The following is a 24,124-nucleotide window of genomic DNA, read 5'->3' on the forward strand; positions in this document are numbered from 1 at the left end:
ATGGACTCGCAATTTATTGGGAGAATGTGGGTGTTTCTTCCATGCACACAAATGGCACAGAAATTCCACGTGTCCTGAGTGACAGATTTTACCTTTCTTGGCATTCACCCAGTAACAGTTTCAAGTAAGACTTTTATGAATCTGACACACTTGACTTAGTTATTATTTTTATTTTCTGTCCACAAGTGTAACATGTACATACATTCTCCTAGTAAAAAGAAGTAAATGCATAGAATGAAAAGTGGGGAAAAAAAAATCAAAATCTTTCACTCCCATTCCTCTTAAAAGAAGTGTTAAAAAGTGGGTCTACATCCTTGCAAACCCTTTCTATGCATATACATGCATATCAAAGATATAGCAAATATACCTTTTTCATAAATACTACTTCACTATTCATGTTATGTAGATCACATTTTTCATCTACAGTGGCAGAAGATTTGAACATGTCAGTGCATATGGATTTATCTTATTTTTTTGAACTGCTCTATACTTTTCCAATGTATGGATGAAACATAATTTAGCCAGAATTTTACTGATGGACCCATACATTGTTTAGTCATTTGCTTTTATAAACAGTGCTCAGTAAATAAATATCATATTTTAACCTGTACACAGCAACCATATCTGTGAGAGATAATTCTTTAGAGTGGATTCACTAGGCCAAAGGATAGGTTCTTTTAAATTTTTAGAGCTATTGAGAAATTAAAATCCAAAGAAGTTGTATTGATTTATACCCTCATAAGCAATATATGAATTTGCCACAGCCTATCCTACAATGTCAGCAAAGTGGTTTGTGCCACTGGCATCTTACTTTGGTTTAATTTTGAATGTACTGCTTAGTATCCTTATCTTTCCTTTTTGAGTGAACTATCATATCTTTTGCGTGCCTATTCCATTCAATAGTTTTCCTATTGGATTTTGGGATTTTCTTCTTGATTTATATGTTAAAGAAATGACCACTTTTCTTGTGGTCTGAGTTACAAGCCTCCCCTCTCCCCTCATTTTTCTCATTGCCATGGCTTATTTTTGCAATTCAATTAATGAATACTTTTCTTTCATGAATTCCATTTTTTGTCATAACAAATTTTTCTTTTTTTGTGATTATAATTGCTGCGATTTGAATGAATGTGTCCCTCCAAAATTCAAAGGTTGGAACTCAAACCCCAATGTGATAGTCTTTAGGGGTGATTAAGTCATGATGGTAGACCTCTTATGAGTGGGATTAGTGACCTTATAAAAGGGCTGGAGATAACTAGCTAGGCCCTTTTGCCCTTCCACTCTTTCGCCAGGTGAGGACATAGCCTTCCTTCCCTCCAGAGGGTGCAGCAACAAGGCACCAACTTGGAAGCAAAGGCTGGGCCCTCCAGACACCAAACCTGCCAACATCTTGATTTTGGACTTCCCCCATCCAGAATTGTAAGAAATAAATTCCTGTTGTTTGTAAACAGGATCTTAGATATTTTGTTATAACAGCACTAATGGACTAATACAATAATTATCTGCTTTTTAAAAATTTAAATATTAATCCATCTGGAATTTATTTTAGTTTAATGTAGGCAGTTAAGAATCAATGACATTAAGTGATAGTTGCCAACTGAAAACTATGCTACCCTTTCCATCATAATATGGAATTGTAATTGAAATATGGCTGTCCAATCAAGGATTACATTTTCAAATCTCCTTTGTTCCTTTGTGTGGCCTTGTGACCAGTAATCAGCTACAGAATATAAGTGGAAGTGATGGGTGTTTCTTCCAGACCAAGACCTTTAAGAATTGCTCTATCCCATCCCATCATCTAGACATAGGTGACAGAGGAACCTACTTGAACTGTGGTACATAAGCTGGCAGGAACCTGGGTTCCTGAAGCATCATGGGCAGGATACCTAGTCACTGACCAGGAACATCTGTAGTGACTGTTACATGAGTGAGAGATATATTTGTATTGTGATAAGCCACTAAAATGTCATGGCTTATTTATTAAAATGATTAGTTTGGCTTTACTACTAGATAATCCATGAAGATATAGCTGTCCCTAACACTCATATCTGAGCACACTTTAGTTTACTTAGCACTCTACCTGTTGACATTGAAAGAGAGGTGTTAATTACATAGCATTTGAAAAAGATCTGGAAGAAAGGTGGTTTATCAGTGGGTGTACTTCAGGGTTAACCAGATGTTAAAATGAGAATTCTATTCAGTGCGCTTGTGTCATCCACATCAGTAGATCTGACTATGGCAGTATCAGAAAGCAAAAAACAGACGTATATCAAACCAGTCCCTGCTTATTTTAATTCAACTATCAATAATAATACTTCATTTAAAATAAGGCATCCAAAACAAATTTAAATTAGATGGTTTGCCAGGACTATAACCTATATTAAGCAAAATACCCCTTTTTTGTAAATATAAGTGAATAATCATGAGGAATAACATGAAGAAGGAGGAAGATGAGCTAATAAAATATCTAAAGTAATTGAAGGACAAATATTTGGTGATTAAATCAATGTTGAATTAAAAAATGATGACATATGGCCAGGCCCGGTGGCTCAGACCTGTAATCCCAGCACTTTGGGAGCCCAAGGCAGGTGGATCACTTGAGGTCAGGAGTTTGAGAGCAGCCTGGCTAATATGGTGAAACCCTGTTTCTACTAAAAATACAAAAAATTAGCTGGACATGGTGGTGCATGCCTGTAGTCCTAGCTACTCTGGAGGCTGAGAAAGGAGAATTGCTTGAACCCAGGAGGCAGAGGTTGCAGTGAGCCAAGATCGTGCCACTGCATGGCAGCCTGGGTGACAGAGTGAGACTTCGTCTCAAAAAAAAAAAAAAAATGAAGCATGAAAGTATGCACTTTAGTTTGTTGTCCAAAGTCAGTCACATTTTACAAATGCTTGTCTTTGAAGAAAGACTTTGAAAATCAATCTAGTGCCTTACAATGTATTGAACTAGTTTGTAAATGAGTCCTCTATTCATTTTTGTTGCAATTTGTTCAAAATCAGTTGTGGATCTTTAATCAAAGTGTTTATTGGATAGAATTTCAACCAAACTTAAAGTTTTGAAACTTTTAACAAATTTCAATTATTAAAAACAAAATTTGTATTAGAAGCCATTGAAATTGTCACTACAAAAGTGAGGAAGGAAGTGAATATATGCTATGAGAATAAAACACTGTACAAGATTTAAATTAGAAATTTTATAATTGTGTTTTTGAATGTGAACTTGTAAGAAGAATTATTTTTGGGCTGGGCATGGCGGCTCACGCCTGTAATCCCAGCACCTTGGGAGGCTGAGGTGGGTGGATCACTTTAGGTCAGGAGTTTGAGGGCAGCCTGAACAATATGGTGAAACCTGGCCTCTATTAAAAATACAAGATTAGCTGGGCATGGAGGTGCACACCTGTAACCCCAGCTACTTGGGAGGCTGAAGCAAGAGAATTGCTTGAATCCGGGAGGCGGAGGTTGCAGCTAGCTGAGATCATGCCACTGTACTCCAGCCTGGGCAATGAGAGTGAAACTGTCTGAAGCTTCTATTTTTATTTGGACAAATATATATTCTGTAATGAAAGGAATATTGAAAATGCCTATTTTGCAGCATCTCATTTGGTTTGGCAAAACATTCAAGATAATTAGAACTAGAGATTACTTATTTTATTTGTTTTGCTTTATCAAGTGTTTCTTAAGAATGATACTCTGAATGAAGTAAAGAAGACAGTACCAGCGCGGTTCCAAGATGGCCGAATAGGAACAGCTCCAGTCTACAGCTCTCAGCGTGAGCGATGCAGAAGACGAATGATTTCTGCATTTCCAACTGAGGTACCGGGTTCATCTCACTGGGGACTGTCGGACAGTGGGTGCAGGACAGTGGGTGCAGTGCACCAAGCGTGAGCTGAAGCAGGGCGAGGCATCGCCTCATCTGGGAAGTGCAAGGGGTCAGGGAATTCCCTTTCCTAGCCAAGGAAAGGGGTGACAGATGGCACCTGGAAAATCGGGTCACTCCCACCCTAATACTGCGCTTTTCCGACGGTCTTAGCAAACGGCACACCAGGAGATTATATCCCGCGCCTGGCTTGGAGGGTCCTACGCCCACGGAGCCTTGCTCATTGCTAGCACAGCAGTCTAAGATCAAACTGCAAGGTGGCAGTGAGGCTGGGGGAGGGGAGCCCGCCATTGCTGAGGCTTGAGTAGGTAAACAAAGCGGCCAGGAAGCTCGAACTGGGTGGAGCCCACCACAGCTCAAGGAGGCCTGCCTGCCTCTGTAGACTGCACGTCTGGGGGCAGGGCATAGCCAAACAAAAGGCAACAGACACCTCTGCAGACTTAAATGTCCCTGTCTGACAGCTTTGAAGAGAGTAGTGGTTCTCCCAGCACACAGCTTGAGCTCTGAGAATGGACAGACTGTCTCCTCAAGTGGGTCCCTGACCCCCAAGTAGCCTAACTGGGAGGCACGCCCCAGTAGGGGCAGACTGACACCTCACACAGTGGGGTACTCCTCTGAGACAAAACTTCCAGAGGAATGATCAGGCAGCAACATTTGCTGTTCACCAATATTCACTGTTTTGCAGCCTCCACTGCTGATACCCAGGCAAACAGGATCTGGAGTGCACCTCCAGCAAACTCCAACAGAGCTGCAGCTGAGGGTCCTGACTGTTAGAAGGAAAACTAACAAACAGAAAGGACATCCACACCAAAACCCCATCTGTATGTCACCATCATCAAAGACCAAAGGTAGATAAAACCACAAAGATGGGGAAAAAACAGAGCAGAAAAACTGAAAATTCTAAAAATCAGAGCACCTCTCCTCCTCCAAAGGAACGCAGCTCCTCACCAGCAACAGAACAAAGCTGGACAGAGAATGACTTTGACGAGTTGAGAGAAGAAGGCTTCAGACGATGAAACTTCTCTGAGCTAAAGGAGGAAGTTCGAACCATCGCAAAGAAGTTAAAAACCTTGAAAAAAGATTAGACGAATGGCTAACTAGAATAACCAATGCAGAGAAGTCCTTAAAGGACGTGATGGAGCTGAAAACCATGGCACAAGAACTACGTGATGAATGCACAAGCTTCAGTAGCCAATTCGATCAACTGGAAGAAAGGTTATCAGTGATGGAAGATCAAATGAATGAAATGAAGTGAGAAGTTTAGAGAAAAAAGAATAAAAATAAATGAACAAAGCCTCCAAGAAACATGGGACTATGTGAAAAGACCAAATCTACGTCCGACTGGTGTACCTGAAAGTGACGGGGAGAATGGAACCAAGTTGGAAAACACTCTTGAGGATATTATCCAGAAAAACTTCCCCAAACTAGCAAGGCAGGCCAACATTCGAATTCAGGAAATACAGAGAATGCCACAAAGATACTCCTTGAGAACAGCAACTCCAAGACACATAATTGTCAGATTCACTAAAGTTGAAATGAAGGAAGAAATGTTAAGGGCAGCCAGAGAGAAAGGTCGGGTTACCCACAAAGGGAAGCCCATCAGACTAACAGCTGATCTCTCGGCAGAAACTCTACAAGCCAGAAGAGAGTGGGGGCCAATATTCAACATTCTTAAAGAAAAGAATTCTCAACCCAGAATTTCATATCCAGCCAAATTAAGCTTCATAAGTGAAGGAGAAATAAAATCCTTTACAGACAAGCAAATGCTGAGAGATTTTGTCACCACCAGGCCTGCCCTAAAAGAGCTCCTGAAGGAAGCGCTAAACATGGAAAGGAACAACTGGTACCAGCCACTGCAAAAACATGCCAAATTGTAAAGACCATCGAAGCTAGGAAGAAACTGCATCAACTAACGAGCAAGATAACCAGCTAACATCATAATGACAGGATCAAATTCACACATAACAATACTAACCTTAAATGTAAATGGGCTAAATGCTCCAATTAAAAGACACAGACTGGCAAATTGGATAAAGAGTCAAGATCCATCAGTCTGCTGTTTTCAGGAAGCCCATCTCACATGCAGAGACACACATAGGCTCAAAATAAAGGGATGGAGGAAGATCTACCAAGCAAATGGAAAACAAAAAAAGGCAGGGGTTGCAATCCTAGTCTCTGAAAAAACAGACTTTAAACCAAGAAAGATCAAAAGAGACAAAGAAGGCCATTACATAATGGTAAAGGGATCAATTCAACAAGAAGAGCTAACTATCCTAAATATATATGCACCCAATACAGGAGCACCCAGATTCATAAAGCAAGTCCTTAGAGACCTACAAAGAGACTTGGACTCCCACACAATAATAATGGGAGACTTTAACACCCCACCGTCAACATTAGACAGATCAACGAGACGGAAAGTTAACAAGGATATCCAGGAATTGAACTCAGCTCTGCACCAAGCAGACCTAATAGACATCTACAGAACTCTCCACCCCAAATCAACAGAATATACATTCTTCTCAGCACCACACCGCACTTACTCCAAAACTGACCACATAGTTGGAAGTAAAGCACTCCTCAGCAAATGTAAAAGAACAGAAATTATAACAAACTATCTCAGACCACAGTGCAATCAAACTAGAACTCAGGATTAAGAAACTCACTCAAAACTGCTCAACTACATGGAAACTGAACAACCTGCTCCTGAATGACTACTGGGTACGTAAGGAAATGAAGGCAGAAATAAAGATGTTCTTTGAAACCAACGAGAACAAAGACACAACATACCAGAATCTCTGGGACACATTTAAAGCAGTGTGTAGAGGGAAATTTATAGCACTAAATGCCCACAAGAGAAAGCAGGAGAGATCTAAAATTGACACCCTAACATCACAATTAAAAGAACTAGAGAAGCAAGAGCAATCACATTCCAAAGCTAGCAAAAGGCAAGAAATAACTAAAATCAGAGCAGAACTGAAGGAGATAGAGACACAAAAAACCCTTCAAAAAATCAATGAATCCAGGAGCTGGTTTTTCGAAAAGATCAACAAAATTGATAGACCACTAGCAAGACTAATGAAGAAAAGAGAGAAGAATCAAATAGAGGCAATAAAAAATGATAAAGGGGATATCACCACCAATCCCACAGAAATACAAACTACCATCAGATAATACTGTAAACATCTCTATGCAAATAAACTTGAAAATCTAGAAGAAATGGATAAATTCCTTGACACATACACCCTCCCAAGACTAAACCAGGAAGAAGCTGAATCTCTGAATAGACCAATAACAGGCTTTGAAATTGAGGCAATAATTAAGAGCTTACCAACCAAAAAAAGTCCAGGACCAGATGGATTCACATCCGAATTCTACCAGAGGTACAAGGAGGAGCTGGTACCATTCCTTCTGAAACTATTCCAATCAATAGAAAAAGAGGAAATCCTCCCTAACTCATTTTATGAGGCCAGCATCATCCTGATACCAAAGCCTGGCAGAGATACAACAAAAAAAGAGAATTTTAGACCAACATCCCTGATGAACATAGATGCAAAAATCCTCAATAAAATACTGGTAAACCGAATCCAGCAGCACCTCAAAAAGCTTATCCACCATGATCAAGTAGGCTTCATCCCTGGGATGCAAGTCTGGTCCAACATATGCAAATCAATAAACGTAATCCAGCATATAAACAGAACCAAAGACAAAAACCACACGATCATCTCAATAGATGCAGAAAAGGCCTTTGACAAAATTCAACAACCCTTCAAGCTAAAAACTCTCAATAAATTAGGTATTGATGGGACGTATCTCAAAATAATAAGAGTTATCTATGACAAACCCACAGCCAATATCATACTGAATGGAGAAAAACTGGAAGCATTCCCTTTGAAAACTGGCACAAGACAAGGATGCCCTCTCTCACCACTCCTATTCAACGTAGTGTTGGAAGTTCTGGCCAGGGCAATCAGGCAGGAGAAAGAAATAAAGGGATTCAATTAGGAAAAGAGGAAGTCAAATTGTCCCTGTTTGCAGATGACATGATTGTGTATCTAGAAAACCCCATTATCTCAGTCCAAAATCTCCTTAAGCTGATAAGCAACTTCAGCAAAGTCTCAGGATACAAAATCAATGTGCAAAAATCACAAGCATTCTTATACACCAATAACAGACAAACAGAGAGCCAAATCATGAGTGAACTCCCATTCACAATTGCTTCAAAGAGAATAAAATACCTAGGAATCCAACTTACAAGGGATGTGAAGCACCTCTTCAAGGAGAACTACAAACCATTGCTCAATGAAATAAAAGAGGATACAAACAAATGGAAAAACATTCCATGCTCATGGATAGGAAGAATCAATATCGTGAAAATGGCCATACTGCCCAAGGTAATTTGTAGATTCAATGCCATCCCCGTCAAGCTACCATGACTTTCTTCACAGAATTGGAAAAAACTACTTTAAAGTTCATATGGAACCAAAAAAGAGCCCACATTGCCAAGTCAATCCTAGGCCAAAAGAACAAAGCTGGAGGCATCATGCTACCTGACTTCAAACTATACTACAAGGCTACAATAACCAAAACACCATGATAATAGTACCAAAACAGATATATAGACTAATGGAACAGAACAGAGCCCTCAGAAATAATACCACATATCTCCAACTATCTGATCTTTGACAAACCTGACAAAAACAAGAAATGGGGAAAGGATTCCCTATTTAATAAATGGTGCTGGGAAAACTGGCTAGCCATATATAGAAAGCTGAAACTGGATCCCTTCCTTACATCTTATACAAAAGTTAATTCAAGATGGATTAAAGACTTACATGTTAGACCTAAAACCATAAAAAACCCTAGAAGAAAACCTAGGCAATACCATTCAGGACATAGGCATGGGCAAGGACTTCATGTCTAAAACACCAAAAGCAATGGCAACAAAAGCGAAAATTGACAAATGGGATCTAATTAAACTAAAGAGCTTCTGCACAGCAAAAGAAACTACCATCAGAGTGAACAGGCAACCTACAGAATGAGAGAAAATTTTTGCAATCTCTACTCATCTGACAAAGGGCTAATATCCAGAATCTACAAAGAACTCAAACAAATTTACAAGAAAAAAACAAGCAGCCCCATCAACAAGTGGGCAAAGTATATGAACAGACACTTCTCAAAATAAGACATTTATGCAGCCAACAGACACATGAAAAAATGCTCATCATCACTGGCCATCAGAGAAATGGAAAGCAAAACCACTATGAGATACCGTCTTACACCAGTTAGAATGGCGATCATTAAAAAGTCAGGGAACAAGAGATGCTGGAGAGGATGTGGAGAAATAGGAACACTTTTACACTGTTGGTGGGACTGTAAACTAGCTCAACCATTGTGGAAGTCAGTGTGGTGATTTCTCAGGGATCTAGAACTAGAAATACCATATGACCCAGCAATCCCATTACTGGGTATATACCCAAATGATTATAAATCATGCTGCTATAAAGACACATGCACACGTATGTTTATTGCGGCACATTCACAATAGCAAAGACTTGGAACCAACCCAAATGTCCAACAATGATATACTGGGTTAAGAAAATGTGGCACATATACACCATGGAATACTATGCAGCCATAAAAAATGATGAGTTCATGTCCTTTGTAGGGACATGGATGAAGCTGGAAACCATCATTCTCAGCAAACTATTGCAAGGACAAAAAACCAAACACCGCATGTTCTCACTCATAGGTGGGAATTGAACAATGAGAACACATGGACATAGGAAGGGGAACATCACACACTGGGGCCTGTTGTGGGGTGGGGGGGAGGGATAGCATTAGGAGATATACCTAATGTAAATGACGAGTTAATGGGTGCAGCACACCAACATGGTACATGTATATATATGTAACAAACCTGCACGTTGTGCACATGTACCCTAAAACTTTAGTAATAAAAAAAAAGACAGTACCTATGTGTGATGGTTAATTTGTCATGTCCATTTGTCTGGACTACAATACCCAATCATTTAATTAATCAATACAATACCCAGTCATCTAGATGTTGCTGTGAAGATAACTTGTGAAGATTATTAACATTTGCAATCAGTTCGCTTTAAATAAAGTAGTTATCCTTTATAATATGGATGAGTCTCATCCAATCAATTGAATTGCCTTAACAGCAAACACAAGATTTCCCCCAGAAAGAAAAAGTTCTAACTCCAGACTGACATCAGCTCCTGCCCAGGAGTTTCTAGCTTACTGGCCTGCCATACAGATGTTGGTCTTGTCAGCCCCCACAATTCTAACAGCCAATTCCTTGAAATATGCCAGATAGATAGATGTTAGAGAGAATCCTACTGGTTCTGTTTCTCGCAGGACTCTAACCTATCTATATATATATATAGATAGATAGATATATTGGTAGCAAGAGTTATTCCGTAGAAATAGAGTCTTAAGGTTGAGTTTTATTAATTGAGTTTGAGTTTTCTGGAATGGTTCTCTAATCTGATTATATTTAAAGGCACAAATGACTGTATTTCCAGTGGTAAAGAGGGTATTAATAGACCATGCTGTGAGGTGGCAGTAGATACGCAAAATATTATCATTGGTTACTCTTAAACACATGCTTATGAAAGGCAATGTCCTGCATGACCATGTATTTGATACCTTAAAACATATTAGTTTAACTAGTATAATACAGTTGACTAGTTGCTCCTAACTGCACTGGAGAAAGTGGGGAAAGAAAAGGATGATCTCAGAGCTTCACATTCTCAGCTCAAGCCCTTCCTAAAGGAACTGAAAGTTTTAATGTCTGTCCTTAAGGAAACCCTTATCTCCAGTATCTGTAGGACTGAGATTTCTGAAAACCAAACCCAGAGTTTCATTCTGCGAGTGGCTAAATTACAATGCAAATTGAATTTCCAGCTTTGCAAGGTGTCTTCTGTTAAAGTGCAGACATTGATTAGTTAGGAATGGGATCCTGAAAATTCGAATGGGGATATATAGGAAGATGCTGATGAAGTTGGCTGGGGTCTTTAAACTCCTATATTCTGCTGAATCTTTTTTACCAATAGAAGCAGCCTTCCTACCCCTGTCTGAATAAGTTAAGCTGATTTTCCTAAGGAATCTGTAATGGTTTTCCTGGAGGTTGTTTCCTTGCAAGATACTGTTGATTATTCTCAAAACTTATCCCAGATACCCCTTTTGATTTTAGGCATATACATAGACTTAATTAAGTCCTAGTTGTTCCCAGTGGGTTGGGTACAAACTGTAAACCATGAAGAGTAATGTTACACACCAAAAGGACCACATGATTTTTCCAGTTTATACCGATAGAAATTTGGGGAATATGTGTGGCAATGGATATTAAAGCTGTGAGATAATGGTGGAAAGAAAATACAGTTGGGTCAGGCTGAATTTACTGATATGGATTTACTAAACAGAGATTCTGGATTCAATGTTGAATCTCAAAGCGTTAGAAAGGGCTTTAACAGTTTGATTGGCTGGTTGGCTGAAACATGGACCAAAAATTGGCCCACACTAAATGAAATCGAAATGCTAGAACTGCCTTGATATATTGCAGATGAGGTTATATATACTGGATTAGAATGTTAGGGTGGGTTCATTATGTCAAACTTGCATATCCACCAAGAGCAAGAGGACTAGAGGACACATCTTTCACCAAATTTGTGAGGATTGAATTTGTGAAAAAGGTCCAGCATCCTTGAAGATCTCTGTGTTCACTTTTCTTTATAAGCTGGAAATTACAGTGGGAACTTCTGCCACTGAAATGGGGATAATTGAGTCCTAGGGTGACAGAAGTCATGCGGTGACACTTAATTGCCAAAGACAAGGTGGGTGTGGTTACCAGAATCAAAACAGTAATAAGAATATTCTAACTTGCAGAAACCCATTGCAGAGACCCAACCATCTAGCATTGGCTACTTGATTATGGTGTCTCTACAAGAGAAATACATGTGTAGACTATGAAATTTTACTAAATTTTACTGTATATGTGGAAGAATTTTAGGTCAAGTATACAGAAGTTTAACTTGAATCATCAAAATAGAGAGCTGCAGCCACTCAATCAATTTCCAGACTTGATCCAGTTTGTAGACCCAGAACCCTTTAGATGAATGGGAGGCTGGGTCTCCTTGATAAAGGATTTAACTGCCAAAAATTTGTGCTGTTAATCTTTCTCCTATCTTTCCCACAGGAGACTAAAGCCATTTACTAGGTGACTGTGCATTTGGCAAAAGGAAAAAATTGTATTTTGTGGGGATTAATGGACACTATCTCTGAACTGACAGGACCCAAAATTTCACTGTGGTCCACCAGTCAGAGTTTTGTCTTACGGAGGTCAGGTGATCAATAGAATTTTAGACATCTCACAGTGTGTTCAGCGTGTCTCTGGATCAATATTGTTGTTATTTCCCCAGTTCCAGAGGGCATAATTGGAAGAAATACTCAGCAACTGGCAGAATTCCCACATTGGTTCCTTGACCTGTGGAGTGAGGGCCATTATGGTGGGAAAGGCCAAGTGGAAGCCACCAGGACTGCATGTACTTAGGATGTAAACTTAACCAGTGGTGATTCCAATTGCAGCTGTTGTTTCAGATGTGACTTTATTGCTTGAACAAGTGCTTTTTTTTCCCCTCCGTACTTTATAGTAAATATCACCAGAAGTTGTTTTGCTTTAGCTGACAATGCCAGCAGTATACCTTTACTGTCCTACCTCAGAGGTATATAACTGTCCTGCCTTGTATCATTATTGAGTCTGCATGGACTTTGTTTGCCTTTCCATTCCACAAGACGTCACACTGGTTCATTACACTGATGACATTATGCTGACTGGACTTAATGAGCAAGAAGTTATAACTAATCTTAACTTACTGGTAAGACATTTTTATGTCAGAATGTGGAAAATAGGCTGGGCAGGGTGGCTCATGCCTGTGATCCCAACAATTTGGGAGGTCAAGGTGGGAGGATTGCTTATGGCCAGGAGTTTAAGACCAGCCTGATCAACATAGTGAGACCCCATCTACCTAAAAACAAAGAGGGCCGGGCACAGTGACTCACACCTATAATCCCAGCACTTTGGGAAGCGAGTCAGGTAGATCACCTGAGGTCAGGAATTCGAGACCAGCCTGGCCAACATGGTGAAACCCGTCTCTACTAAAAATGCAAACAATTAGCTGGGTGTGCTGGCAGGTGCCTGTAATCTCAGCTACTTGGGAGGCTGAGGCAGGAGAATTACTGGAACCTGGGAGGCTGATGTTGCAGTGAGCCAAGATCGCGCTATTGCTCTCCAGCCCAGGCTGACAGCAGTGAGACTCCATCTCAAAACAACAACAAAGAGGATGGAAAATAGATCCCACAAAAATACTGGGACTTCCACAGCTGTGAAATTTCTGTGGATAAATGATTGCATCTGTCTCTTCCTATAGCTAAAAATGAGGTACAATGCCTAGTGGCCGTCGCTGATAGAGGCGACATATTTTTCATTTGGATATGCTACTCTGGCACATTTGCCAAGTGACCTGAAAAACTGCTAGTTTTTGTTGTTGTTGTTGTTGTTGTTGTTGTTGTTGATGATGATGAGATGAAGTTTCGCTCTTGTTGCCCAGGCTGGAGGGCAATGGCATGATCTCTGCTCATTGCAACCTCTGCCTCCTGGGTTCAAACGATTCTCCTGCCTCAGCCTCCCTAGTAGCTTGGGTTACAGGCATGCACTACCACGCCTGGCTAATTTGTATTTTTAGTAGTGATGGGGTTTCGCTATGTTGGTCAAGTTGGTCTCGAACTCCGGACCTCAGATGATCCACCTGTCTCGGCCTCCCAAAGTGCTGGGATTACAGGCGTAAGCCACTGCGCCCAGCCCGACTGCTGGTTTTGAGTGGGACCTGGTTAAGAGAAGGGTTCTGCAGCAGGTCCAGACATACAAGCTGCTCTGCCACTTGAGCTGTATGATCTAGGAGATCTGAGCACCACTGGCATATAGAGATGCTATCTGTAGCCTTTGTAAGGCTTCTATAGGTGAATCACAGTGCAGAACCTTACAATTTTGGAGGTAAGCCCTGCCATCCTCAGTGGATAACTACCCTCCTTTTGAGAAACAGCTTTTGTCTATCTACTGGGCCTTAGAAACTGAATGCTTAACCATGGGCTACCATGTGATCTGAACTGACTCTTACAACCTGAGTGTTGTCTGAGCCAACAAACCATAAACTTGGGTGTGCAGAGCAATACTCCATCATCATACAACAGTGATATATACAGGATCTGGCTTGAGGAGGCTCTGAAGGCACAGTAAATTACATGAAGTGGCCCAAATGCCCATCGTCCTTGCTCCTGCTACATTACCTTCTCTGCCCCAGCCCACCCTTATGATTTCATGGGGAATTCCCTATGATAGTTGACTGAGGAAGAGAAAACTAGGGCTTAGTTTATAGGTGGTTCTGCACTATGTGCAAGCACTACCCACAAGTGGATAGCTACAGCACTACAGTCCCTTTCTAGGACATCCCTGAGGGACAGCAGTGAAGGGAGGTCCTCCCAGAGCGCATTTGGCTGTTAATTTTGCTTGAAGGAGAGATGGTTAGAGGTATGAGTATATATTGATACACGGACTGTGGCCAGTGGTTTGGCTGGATGGTCAGGTACTTGTAAGGAACAGAAGTGAAAAAATTGGTGGCAGGGACATCTGGGAAAGACGTATGTCTTGTGGAAAGATAAGCCTTTCTGAGTGGGGAAAAAATGAAGGTATTTGTGTTCCATGTAAATGCTCACCAAAGGGTAAACTGCACAGAGGAGGATATTTAAAATCAAGTGGATAAGATGGCCTATTCTGTGGATAGTAGTCGGCTTACTTTCCTCCTCAGCCAACCCTATCATCCCCCAATGGGCTCATGAACAAAGTGGCTATGTAGCAGAGATGGAGGTTATGCATGTGCTCAGCAACATCGACTTCCACTCACCAAGGCTGATATGGCTACAGCTATTGCTCAGTGCCCAATCGGCCTGTAGCAGAGACCAACACTGAGTCCCTGATATGGAGCCATTCCCTGGAATGATCAACTATCTACTTGGTGTCAGTTTGATTACATTGGACTGCTTTTATCTTGGAAGGGGTGGACTTTTATTCTTACTGGAATAGACACTGTAGATACGGATTTGTCTTCCCTACACACCATACTTCTGGCAAAACTACCATCTGTGGATTTGCAAAATGCCTTTTTCACTATCATGACATTACATGTAGCATTGCTTCTGCTCAAGGAACTCCAGAGCAAATGAAGAGTGGAAATGGGCCCATGCTCATCAAATTATAGTAACTGTTTCCTATCATTTTGAGGCAGGTAGATTGATAGAACAGTGGAATGACTTATGAAGTCTCGGCTTCAGCTAGATGACACTACATTGCAGATCTGGGGAAATGTCCTCCAGGATGCCACATATACTCTAAATCAGTATCCAACATATGGTACTTTTTCTCCTATATCCAGGATTCATAGGTCTAGGAATCAAGGAGTGGAAATAGGAGTGTCACTTGCCATTACTATTACCCTTACTGATGCACACTATTTTTTTCTTGTCTGCACAACTTTATGTTCTGCTGGTCTAGAGTCTCAATTATAAAGGTATGCTTCCACCTGGAGACACAACAATGATTTCATTGAGATGGAAGTTCAGACTTCCACTTGGCCACTTTAGACTCCTGATGCCTCTGAATTAACAGGCAGCCAAGGAAGTTACTGTACTGCCTGGAAGGACTGATCCTGATTACCAAGGAGAAATTGGAGTGCTGCTACATAATGGAGGTAAGGAAGAGTATGTATGGAATGCAGAAGATCCTATAGCATGTCTGTTAGTATTATAATCCCTGTGATTAAAGTCAATGGAAAACTACAACAGTCCAATTCAGGCAGAACTACTAATGGCCTAGACCATGGGTCTCCAGCCTTTTGGCTTCCCTGGGCCACATTGGAAGAAGAAGAATTGTCTTGGGCCATACACTAACATTAACAGTAGCTGATGAGCTATTAAAAAAAAAAAGTCTGTGCAAAATTTTCATGATATCCACCACTACAGATAAGCAAAAAAGTCCTCATGTTCAAAGGGTTGGACACAGCTGGCCTAGACCCTTCAGCAATAAAGGTTTGGGTTTTTCTGCTATGCAAAGAACCACAAGCAAGCTGAGGTGCTTGCTTAGGGCACAGAAACTATGGAATGGGTAGTGGAAGAAGGTAGTTATAAATACTACCTACAAATATACGACCAGTTGCAGAAACCAAGACTGCAATTATTAGGAGTTTTTATATTTTTCCTCTTTTATCCCCCTGTAAGATAAGATATATTAATTATAGTTAATTTTACATCACAGTATTTAAAGAGAAGAATTAACATGAATATTACCCAAGGACTTTGTATACTTTGCTGGGGAAAATGCGGGTGCATCTTCAGTTGCATCCAGGATAGTTGTGTCAGGTTAGGTGGAATTAAAACTTTTTTTTTTTTTCAACGAGACAGAAAGTCAACAAGCATACCCAGGAATTGAACTCAGCTCTGCACCAAGCAGACCTAATAGACATCTACAGAACTCTCCACCCCAAATCAACAGAATATACATTTTTTTCCAGCACCACACCACACCTATTCCAAAATTGACCACATAGTTGGAAGTAAAGCTCTCCTCAGCAAATGTAAAAGAACAGAAATTATAACAAACTGTATCTCAGACCACAGTGCCATCAAACTAGAACTCAGGATTAAGAAACTCACTCAAAACTGCTCAACTACATGGAAACTGAACAACCTACTCCTGAATGACTACTGGGTACATAACAAAATGAAGGCAGAAATAAAGATGTTCTTTGAAACCAACGAGAACAAAGACAAAACATACCAGAATCTCTGGGACATATTCAAAGCAGTGTGTAGAGGGAAATTTATAGCACTAAATGCCCACAAGAGAAAGCAGGAAAGATCCAAAACTGACACCCTAACATCACAATTAAAAGAACTAGAAAAGCAAGAGCAAACACATTCAAAAGCTAGCAGAAGGCAAGAAATAACTAAAATCAGAGCAGAACTGAAGGAGATAGAGACACAAAAAACCCTTCAAAAAATTAATGAATCCAGGAGCTGGTTTTTTGAAAGGATCAACAAAATTGATAGGCCGCTAGCAAGACTAATAAAGAAAAAAAGAGAGAAGAATCAAATAGACGCAATAAAAAATGATAAAGGGGATATCACCACCGATCCCACAGAAATACAAACTACCATCAGAGAATACTACAAACACCTCTATGCAAATAAACTAGAAAATCTAGAAGAAATGGATAAATTCCTCGACACATACACTCTCCCAAGACTAAACCAGGAAGAAGTTGAATCTCTGAATAGACCAATAACAGGATCTGAAATTGTGGCAATAATCAATAGCTTACCAACCAAAAAGAGTCCAGGATTCACAGCCGAATTCTACCAGAGGTACAAGGAGGAACTGGTACCATTCCTTCTGAAACTATTCCAATCAATAGAAAAAGAGGGATTCCTCCCTAACTCATTTTATGAGGCCAGCATCATCCTGATACCAAAGCTGGGCAGAGACACAACCAAAAAAGAGAATTTTAGATCAATATCCTTGATGAACATTGATGCAAAAATCCTAAATAAAATACTGGCAAACCGAATCCAGCAGCACATCAGAATTAAAACTTTTAAATTATCTTTATATGGAGATTATGTATGGTTTAAGGAAATGTGTATGGGTGCCAAGTTGATGAGGGAGTAGACTATGATAACTTATGGTTAGTTTGTTGTGTCAATTTGGCTAGGCTATAGTGCCCAGTAATTTAATCAAAGAATTATCTAGGTGTTGCTATGAAGATACTCTATATATTTATTTTATTTTTGAAGATATTTTGTAGGTGTTATTAACACCTACAATCAGTTGACTTTAAGTAAAGGAGTTACCCTCTATCATGAAAGTGGACCTCATCAAATCAGTTGAAGGGCCTTAAGAACAAAACTGATGTTTCCCAGAAAAAGAAAAAAATACTGTCTCAAGACTGCATGTAAATAACATCAGCTCCTGCCCAAGAGTTTTCAGCCTGCCAATCGGACATACATTTTGGATTTACAGCCCCCACAAACGTGTAAGCCAGTACCTTCAAGTCTCTCTCTTTCTTTCCCTTCCTCCTTTTCTCCCTCCCTCCCTCTCCATGTGAGTGTGTGTGTGTGTGTGTGTGTGTGTGTGTGTGTGTGTGTGTGTTTAAACACACTGTTCTGTTCCTCTGGTGAACCTTGGTTCTATTTCTCTGGCGAACCCTGAAATAATGATAATAAACAATGAAAATAATTGTACTTAAGTATTTTAAGATTTCAGTAAAAAAAAAAAAAAGAGCAAAATTCACATAGCAGATTCTTCTTGAGTTCACCAGGAATCTCAACGTCTCTAGAGAGAGTATTTTCTCAATAAAATAGGCTGCATAAAGAAGGTTCCATTGAAGGTGTCAACAGATTCAAATTAACTACCAAAAGATACAAATTTAAATAAAATTGCAGATAATTTTATGCACCAACTAAAATAAATTCAAGGTCATATTTGTAGTTGAGTCCCAGATGGAGAGAAGAGAGAAAAGTGGCATAAAAACATTTTAAGAAATAAAGGCAGAAAAATTTCCAAATATGATGGGAAAAAATCAAGCCACAGATCCTAGAAGCTGCAAGAAACCCAAGCATTTTAAATACAAAGAGGACCACACTTAGGCACATCATAGTCAAATGACTGGAAACAAAAGATAAAGTCTTAAGTCAGCTAGAGAGAGAGAGAGAAAAAAAAAGACATTTTTACATTGGATAAAACAAACTAAGAATGAAGGCTGACTTATATTCAAATACTGTAGTAAGAAGACAATTGCAATGAAATCTTAAAATGCTGAAAGAAAGAAAAAAATACCTTTCCACCTAGAATTATATATCTGGTAAATTTATCATTAAAAAGTGAAGAGAATATAAACATTGTTTGAGTTGTAGGCCAAAAAAGATATAACAAAGGAAAGAACATATTTTGTAATAAATGATAATGAATGCTGGCTATATCAAAATTTATGGATGAAGCTAAAGCAGTGTTTAGAAGGAAATTCATAGCTTTGAAAATTATGTTAGAAAAATAAAAAGGTGTAAAATCAATTACTTAAGCTACCACCCTAAAAGGGTAAAAAAAAAAGTGAAAATTAAACCCAAATTAAGTACAAAATGAGAAGAAATAAATATAAGAGGATAAATCAGTGAATTAGCAAATAGAAAAATAATAGAGAAAATTGATAAAACTGAAAGTTAATCCTTTGAAAAATTTAATAAACTTTGTAAGCCCATGGCTGCACTGATAAAAATAAAAGAGATATGATACAAATTAGCAACATCAAGAATTAAAGAGGGCATGCCACTAGAGAATCTAGAGACATTAAAATTATAATAAAGTAATCAATTCACCTCATAGCTGAAATGGGTAAATTCCTTATGAGAAAAGACGTACTAAAACTGAAGCAAGAAGAAATATAATATCTGAATAGCCTTATATTTGTGAAAGAAAATGAATTTGAAAAAAAAATCATTCCGGAAAGAAAACTCCAGGTCCAAATTGATTCATTGCTAAATTCTACCAAGCACTTAAGGAAGAAACAATGAAGAAATTATGTAAACCATAAATCATCTATTTCAGAAGACAGGATGAGTAACACCAGCTCATTTCCTGAGGGTAGCATAACCCTGATCTCAAAATCTGAGAAAGACATTATAAAAACAGGGAATTGCAGACCAATATCCATCACGATCATAGGAATAAATATAGTTGACAAAATATTAACAAATGAAAAATAGCAGTATATGAAAATAATATCCCATTACCAATGTGAATTATTCAAGGAATTTCAGTTTGGTGTAATATTTAAAGACCATTCAGGTTGAATTACCACATTAACTAAAAGAGAAAAATGACACAACAATCCTAATAGATGAACAGAAATCATTGACAAAATTCAGTACTCATTCATGATACAACATTTGAGCAAACTAGGACTAGAAAGGAGCTTCCTCAATCTGATAGGAGACCTCTATAAAAAACTTGTAAATAATCATTATACTTACTGATGAAATATTGAACATGTTCCCTCTGAAGTTGGGAACAAGGCAATTATGTTTGCTCTTTGTTTTTAAACAATTTATTGAATGTTTTAGTCAGTGCATTAAGACAAGAGATAAAGATTATAATTGTGTAGATTAAAGTGCTAAAGAAATCATAAAAATTTGTAAGAGCTAATAAATGAGAATAACGAGGTTACACAACGTAAGGTAGTTATACCAAAATCAATTATATTTTTTGTACTAGAAAAAAATTGGAGAGGGATTTAAGATTAATGTTATTTTTAATGGTACAAAAATAAAATATTCAAGAATATGTCTACTGAAGAGCACAAAATATCTCAGAGAAACTAAAGAATACCTAAGTAAATGGAGAGATAAATGATGCTAATGGTTTAGAAAACTCAATATTGCTAAGATATCCATTTTCCCCAAATTGATCTGTAGATTTATTACAATATATTCAAGATCCCAGCTGGCTTTGGAGGTATTGACAAGTGATTCTAAAATTAGAAAGTAAATACAAAGGACCTGGAATAACCAAGACAATTTGGAAAAGAAAAAAAATGTAATTTTTGACCAATCTACACAACTGAATTTAAGAAAACTAATATAACATTTCAGTAATCAAGGCAGTGTGATATTGGCCTTAGAATGGGCAAACAAATCAATGGCATAGAAGTAGAAGCACATATAAATGATCAACGGAATTTTTTGACAAAGTTGCCAACTTAATCCTATAGCGAAAGGATAGTCTTTCCACAAATGATGCTGGAACAACTGAGTAACTGTTTTGGGAGGAAAATAAACCTGTATCCACACTTTCTAGGAGATGTAAAAATGTATTCATGGTGGATCATAGACCCAAATGTAAAAATTAAAACTCTTAAGCTTTGAGATGAAAATAAAGATTCGTTTTTTGGTCACTTTGGAGTAGGCAGCAGTTTCTTAGGTAGAACACACAAACCATTAACCATAAAAGGAAAAATTAATGAATTGGACTCTATAAACTAAAAATTTCTGCTCATCAAAAAGCACCATTAAGAAAATGCATAGGAAAGCCCCTGAGTGGGATAAATAATTTTTTTTTTTTTGAGACAGAGTCTCGCTCTGTCACCCAGGCTGGAGTGCAATGGCACGATCTCCACTCACTGCAAGCTCTGCCTCCCAGGTTCACGCCATTCTCCTGCCTCAGCCTCCCGAGTAGCTGAGACTACAGGTGCCCGCCACCATGGCCAGCTAATTTTTTGTATTTTTAGTAGAAATGGGGTTTCACCATGTTAGCCAGGATGGTCTCGATCTCCTGACCCGTGATCCACCTGCCTTGGCCTCCCAAAGTGGAGAAATAATTTTTAATATGCATATTTGAAAAAGGCCTTGTATTCAGGTTATATAAAAAACTTGAAAATTACAAACAACTAGGCATTGTGAGGCCCAGGCGGGAGGATTGCCTGAGGCTAGGAGTTTGAGACCAGTCTGGGCAACATAGCAAGATCCTATCTCTATAAAAAATTATTAAAAATTAGCTCGTATGGTGGTGCCTGCCTGTAGTCCTTTTATGGTGGTGCATACCTGTAGTCCTTGGTACTTGGTGGCTGAGGCAGGAGGGTCTTGAGCCCAGGAGTTCCAGGTTACAGTGAGCTATGATTGTGCCATTGCATTAGCAACAGAGCAAGACCCTCTCTCAACAAAAAAAAAAAGTTACCAACAACCCAATAAAAATGAGCAAAGGGCTTTGACAAAGCTCTTCACAAAAAGAACATAAATGAATGATCAAAAAGCACATTAAAAAGTCATCGGGGAAATAATTAAGAACACAGTGAGTTACCAGCCCACCTTCAGTAGATGGCTAAAATGAAAAAGACTGGCAATACCAAATAGGAACAATGATGTGGGACAACTCTGGGGGTCTGGGCGGGCTTGGTGGTCCATTCTCAGATGGGCCCCACCCTTTACTTAATGCTCTGCTGTTGCTGACTTGAAATTCTGAATATTTTTATCTTTGAACTTATGTATTCAAAGTGAAGTCTAATGAGTGAATGAAGCATAAGACATGTATCCAACGGCAGTGTGTGCGTGTGCTGCTCAGTTCCATGGGCATGGCTGGTATGAAACAGTGTGTGTACTAAACTGTAGACTTGGGTGCCTGGTGCACACATGCATGCCAAGGGGAGTCAGGGGTGCCACAGGGTCCCAAGGGAGCAGCTAGGACCAGGATCTGGGCCAGATTCGTGGTGGCAGCAGGAACAGCAGTAGAAGTAGTAGCAACTGTGGAGGAAGCTGACTTGCTGGTGTGTCCCCGGAGCTTATTCCTGTGACAGCTGCATATATTTACTTGCAAATCTGTGTGGAGGCAGAAACTGCTGGTGCTCAGGCGGTAACCTTTGTCAGTAAATTATTACCAAATAAAAGCATTCAGGCCGGGCACAGTGGCTCACGCCTGTAATCCCAACACTGGGAGGCCAAGGCGGGCAGATCATTTGAGGTCAAGAGTTCGAGACCAGCCTGGCAAACATGGCGAAACCCCATCTCTACTAAAAACACAAAAATTAGCCAGGCCTAGTGGTGCATGCTTGTAATTCCAGCTACTCAGGAGGCTGAGGCAGGAGAATCACTTGAACCCGGGAGGCAGAGGATGCAGTGAGCCGAGATCGCGCCACTGCAATCCAGCCTGGGTGTCAGAGCCAGACTCCGTCTCAAAAAAAAAAAAAAAAAAGTCCTCACGTGGACATTTCAATAAAGCATATCAAGGAGTTAGAATTCTTCAAATAAGTTAGAACCTCTGGTTTTGACACTGCTGCAACATTACAAGGCAAATCTCTACAGGCTTAGAAACAAAAATTAGACTTGAAAGATTTTTGCATTCAACAGGAAATAACACTATTTTCGAATGAAGTTTTGGATAAACCAATTATTAATTAGGACAATATTGAAATTAATTTTTTCTTATAATTGAAGATACAGTAATAGAATGAGTACATAGATATTTTGAAATATATACAAATCAAAAAGACACTTTTAATATTTTACACAACCTCCATAAGTTACAGGAAATTTCAGAGGAAACATTAACATTCTATTGTATAAATTTAAAATTAAACTCAGATGTACATGGAACTGATTTGTATTACAAGGTAAATGCTGTAAGAAAAATTACAAGAGTCATTAGTTCTAGTTGTACTAAAACTTGTATTTCAAAACAATTTATGATAAATATATCCAAATGTTGTCATGACCTATAAAATACTCCTAGCAACTCCAGCAACACTTATCATTAAGATCTTTCTCAAGGTTAAAAATCATTAAAATTGTTTATGATATTGCATTTATTAAGATGTTGGCAAATATTAGCTTTCAATTATGTTATTTGATAATGAAGTTACTAAAGGTATATATTTTGATGACCTAATGAATTTGTAAAAAAAGAAAGCTAGAAAAATCTTATGACCAATCAAGATATCATATTAGTAAATTATATGCTAAAAGATAATGATAAAAGATGTTAATAATTTAAGAAGTATGATAATGAAAGTATTTAAAAATTTATAATGCAACATTCATATAGCAAAAAGTTATAACTATTTTGAACTTTTATGTAACTAACCAAATAGACTAAAAATATGTAATGCAAAAGTGGACAGAATTAAGAAGAGAAATTGCAAAAGAAACAAAAGGCATCCAGATTGGAACAGAAAAAGTAAAAGCATCTCTATTTGCAGATGACATGATCTTATATGTAGAAAATCCTAAGAATTTTGCACACACATACACACACACACACAATTAGAACCAATAAATGAATTCAACAGTGTTGCAGGATTCAAGATCAATATTAAAAAAAATCAATTGTGTTTCTATACTTTGTCAATCAACAATCAAAAAATGAAGAGAAATAGAAAAATATCTAGTGAATAAATACTAACCAAGAGAAAGTTGAAGTATGTAGATTATTCTCAGGAAAAATATATATAAAATGCAATAAAAAGTAATTATTAGAGATAAAGAGATGACTACATAATGACAAATAGTTCAACTTACAGGAAAATTCTAATATCTGCCAGAAAATACTTGCTGGTGTAAAAGAATGTAGTTAACAAA

Source organism: Homo sapiens, chromosome 10 (assembly GCF_000001405.40).
Source record: "Homo sapiens chromosome 10, GRCh38.p14 Primary Assembly".
In the NCBI taxonomy this organism is placed as follows: domain Eukaryota; kingdom Metazoa; phylum Chordata; class Mammalia; order Primates; family Hominidae; genus Homo; species Homo sapiens.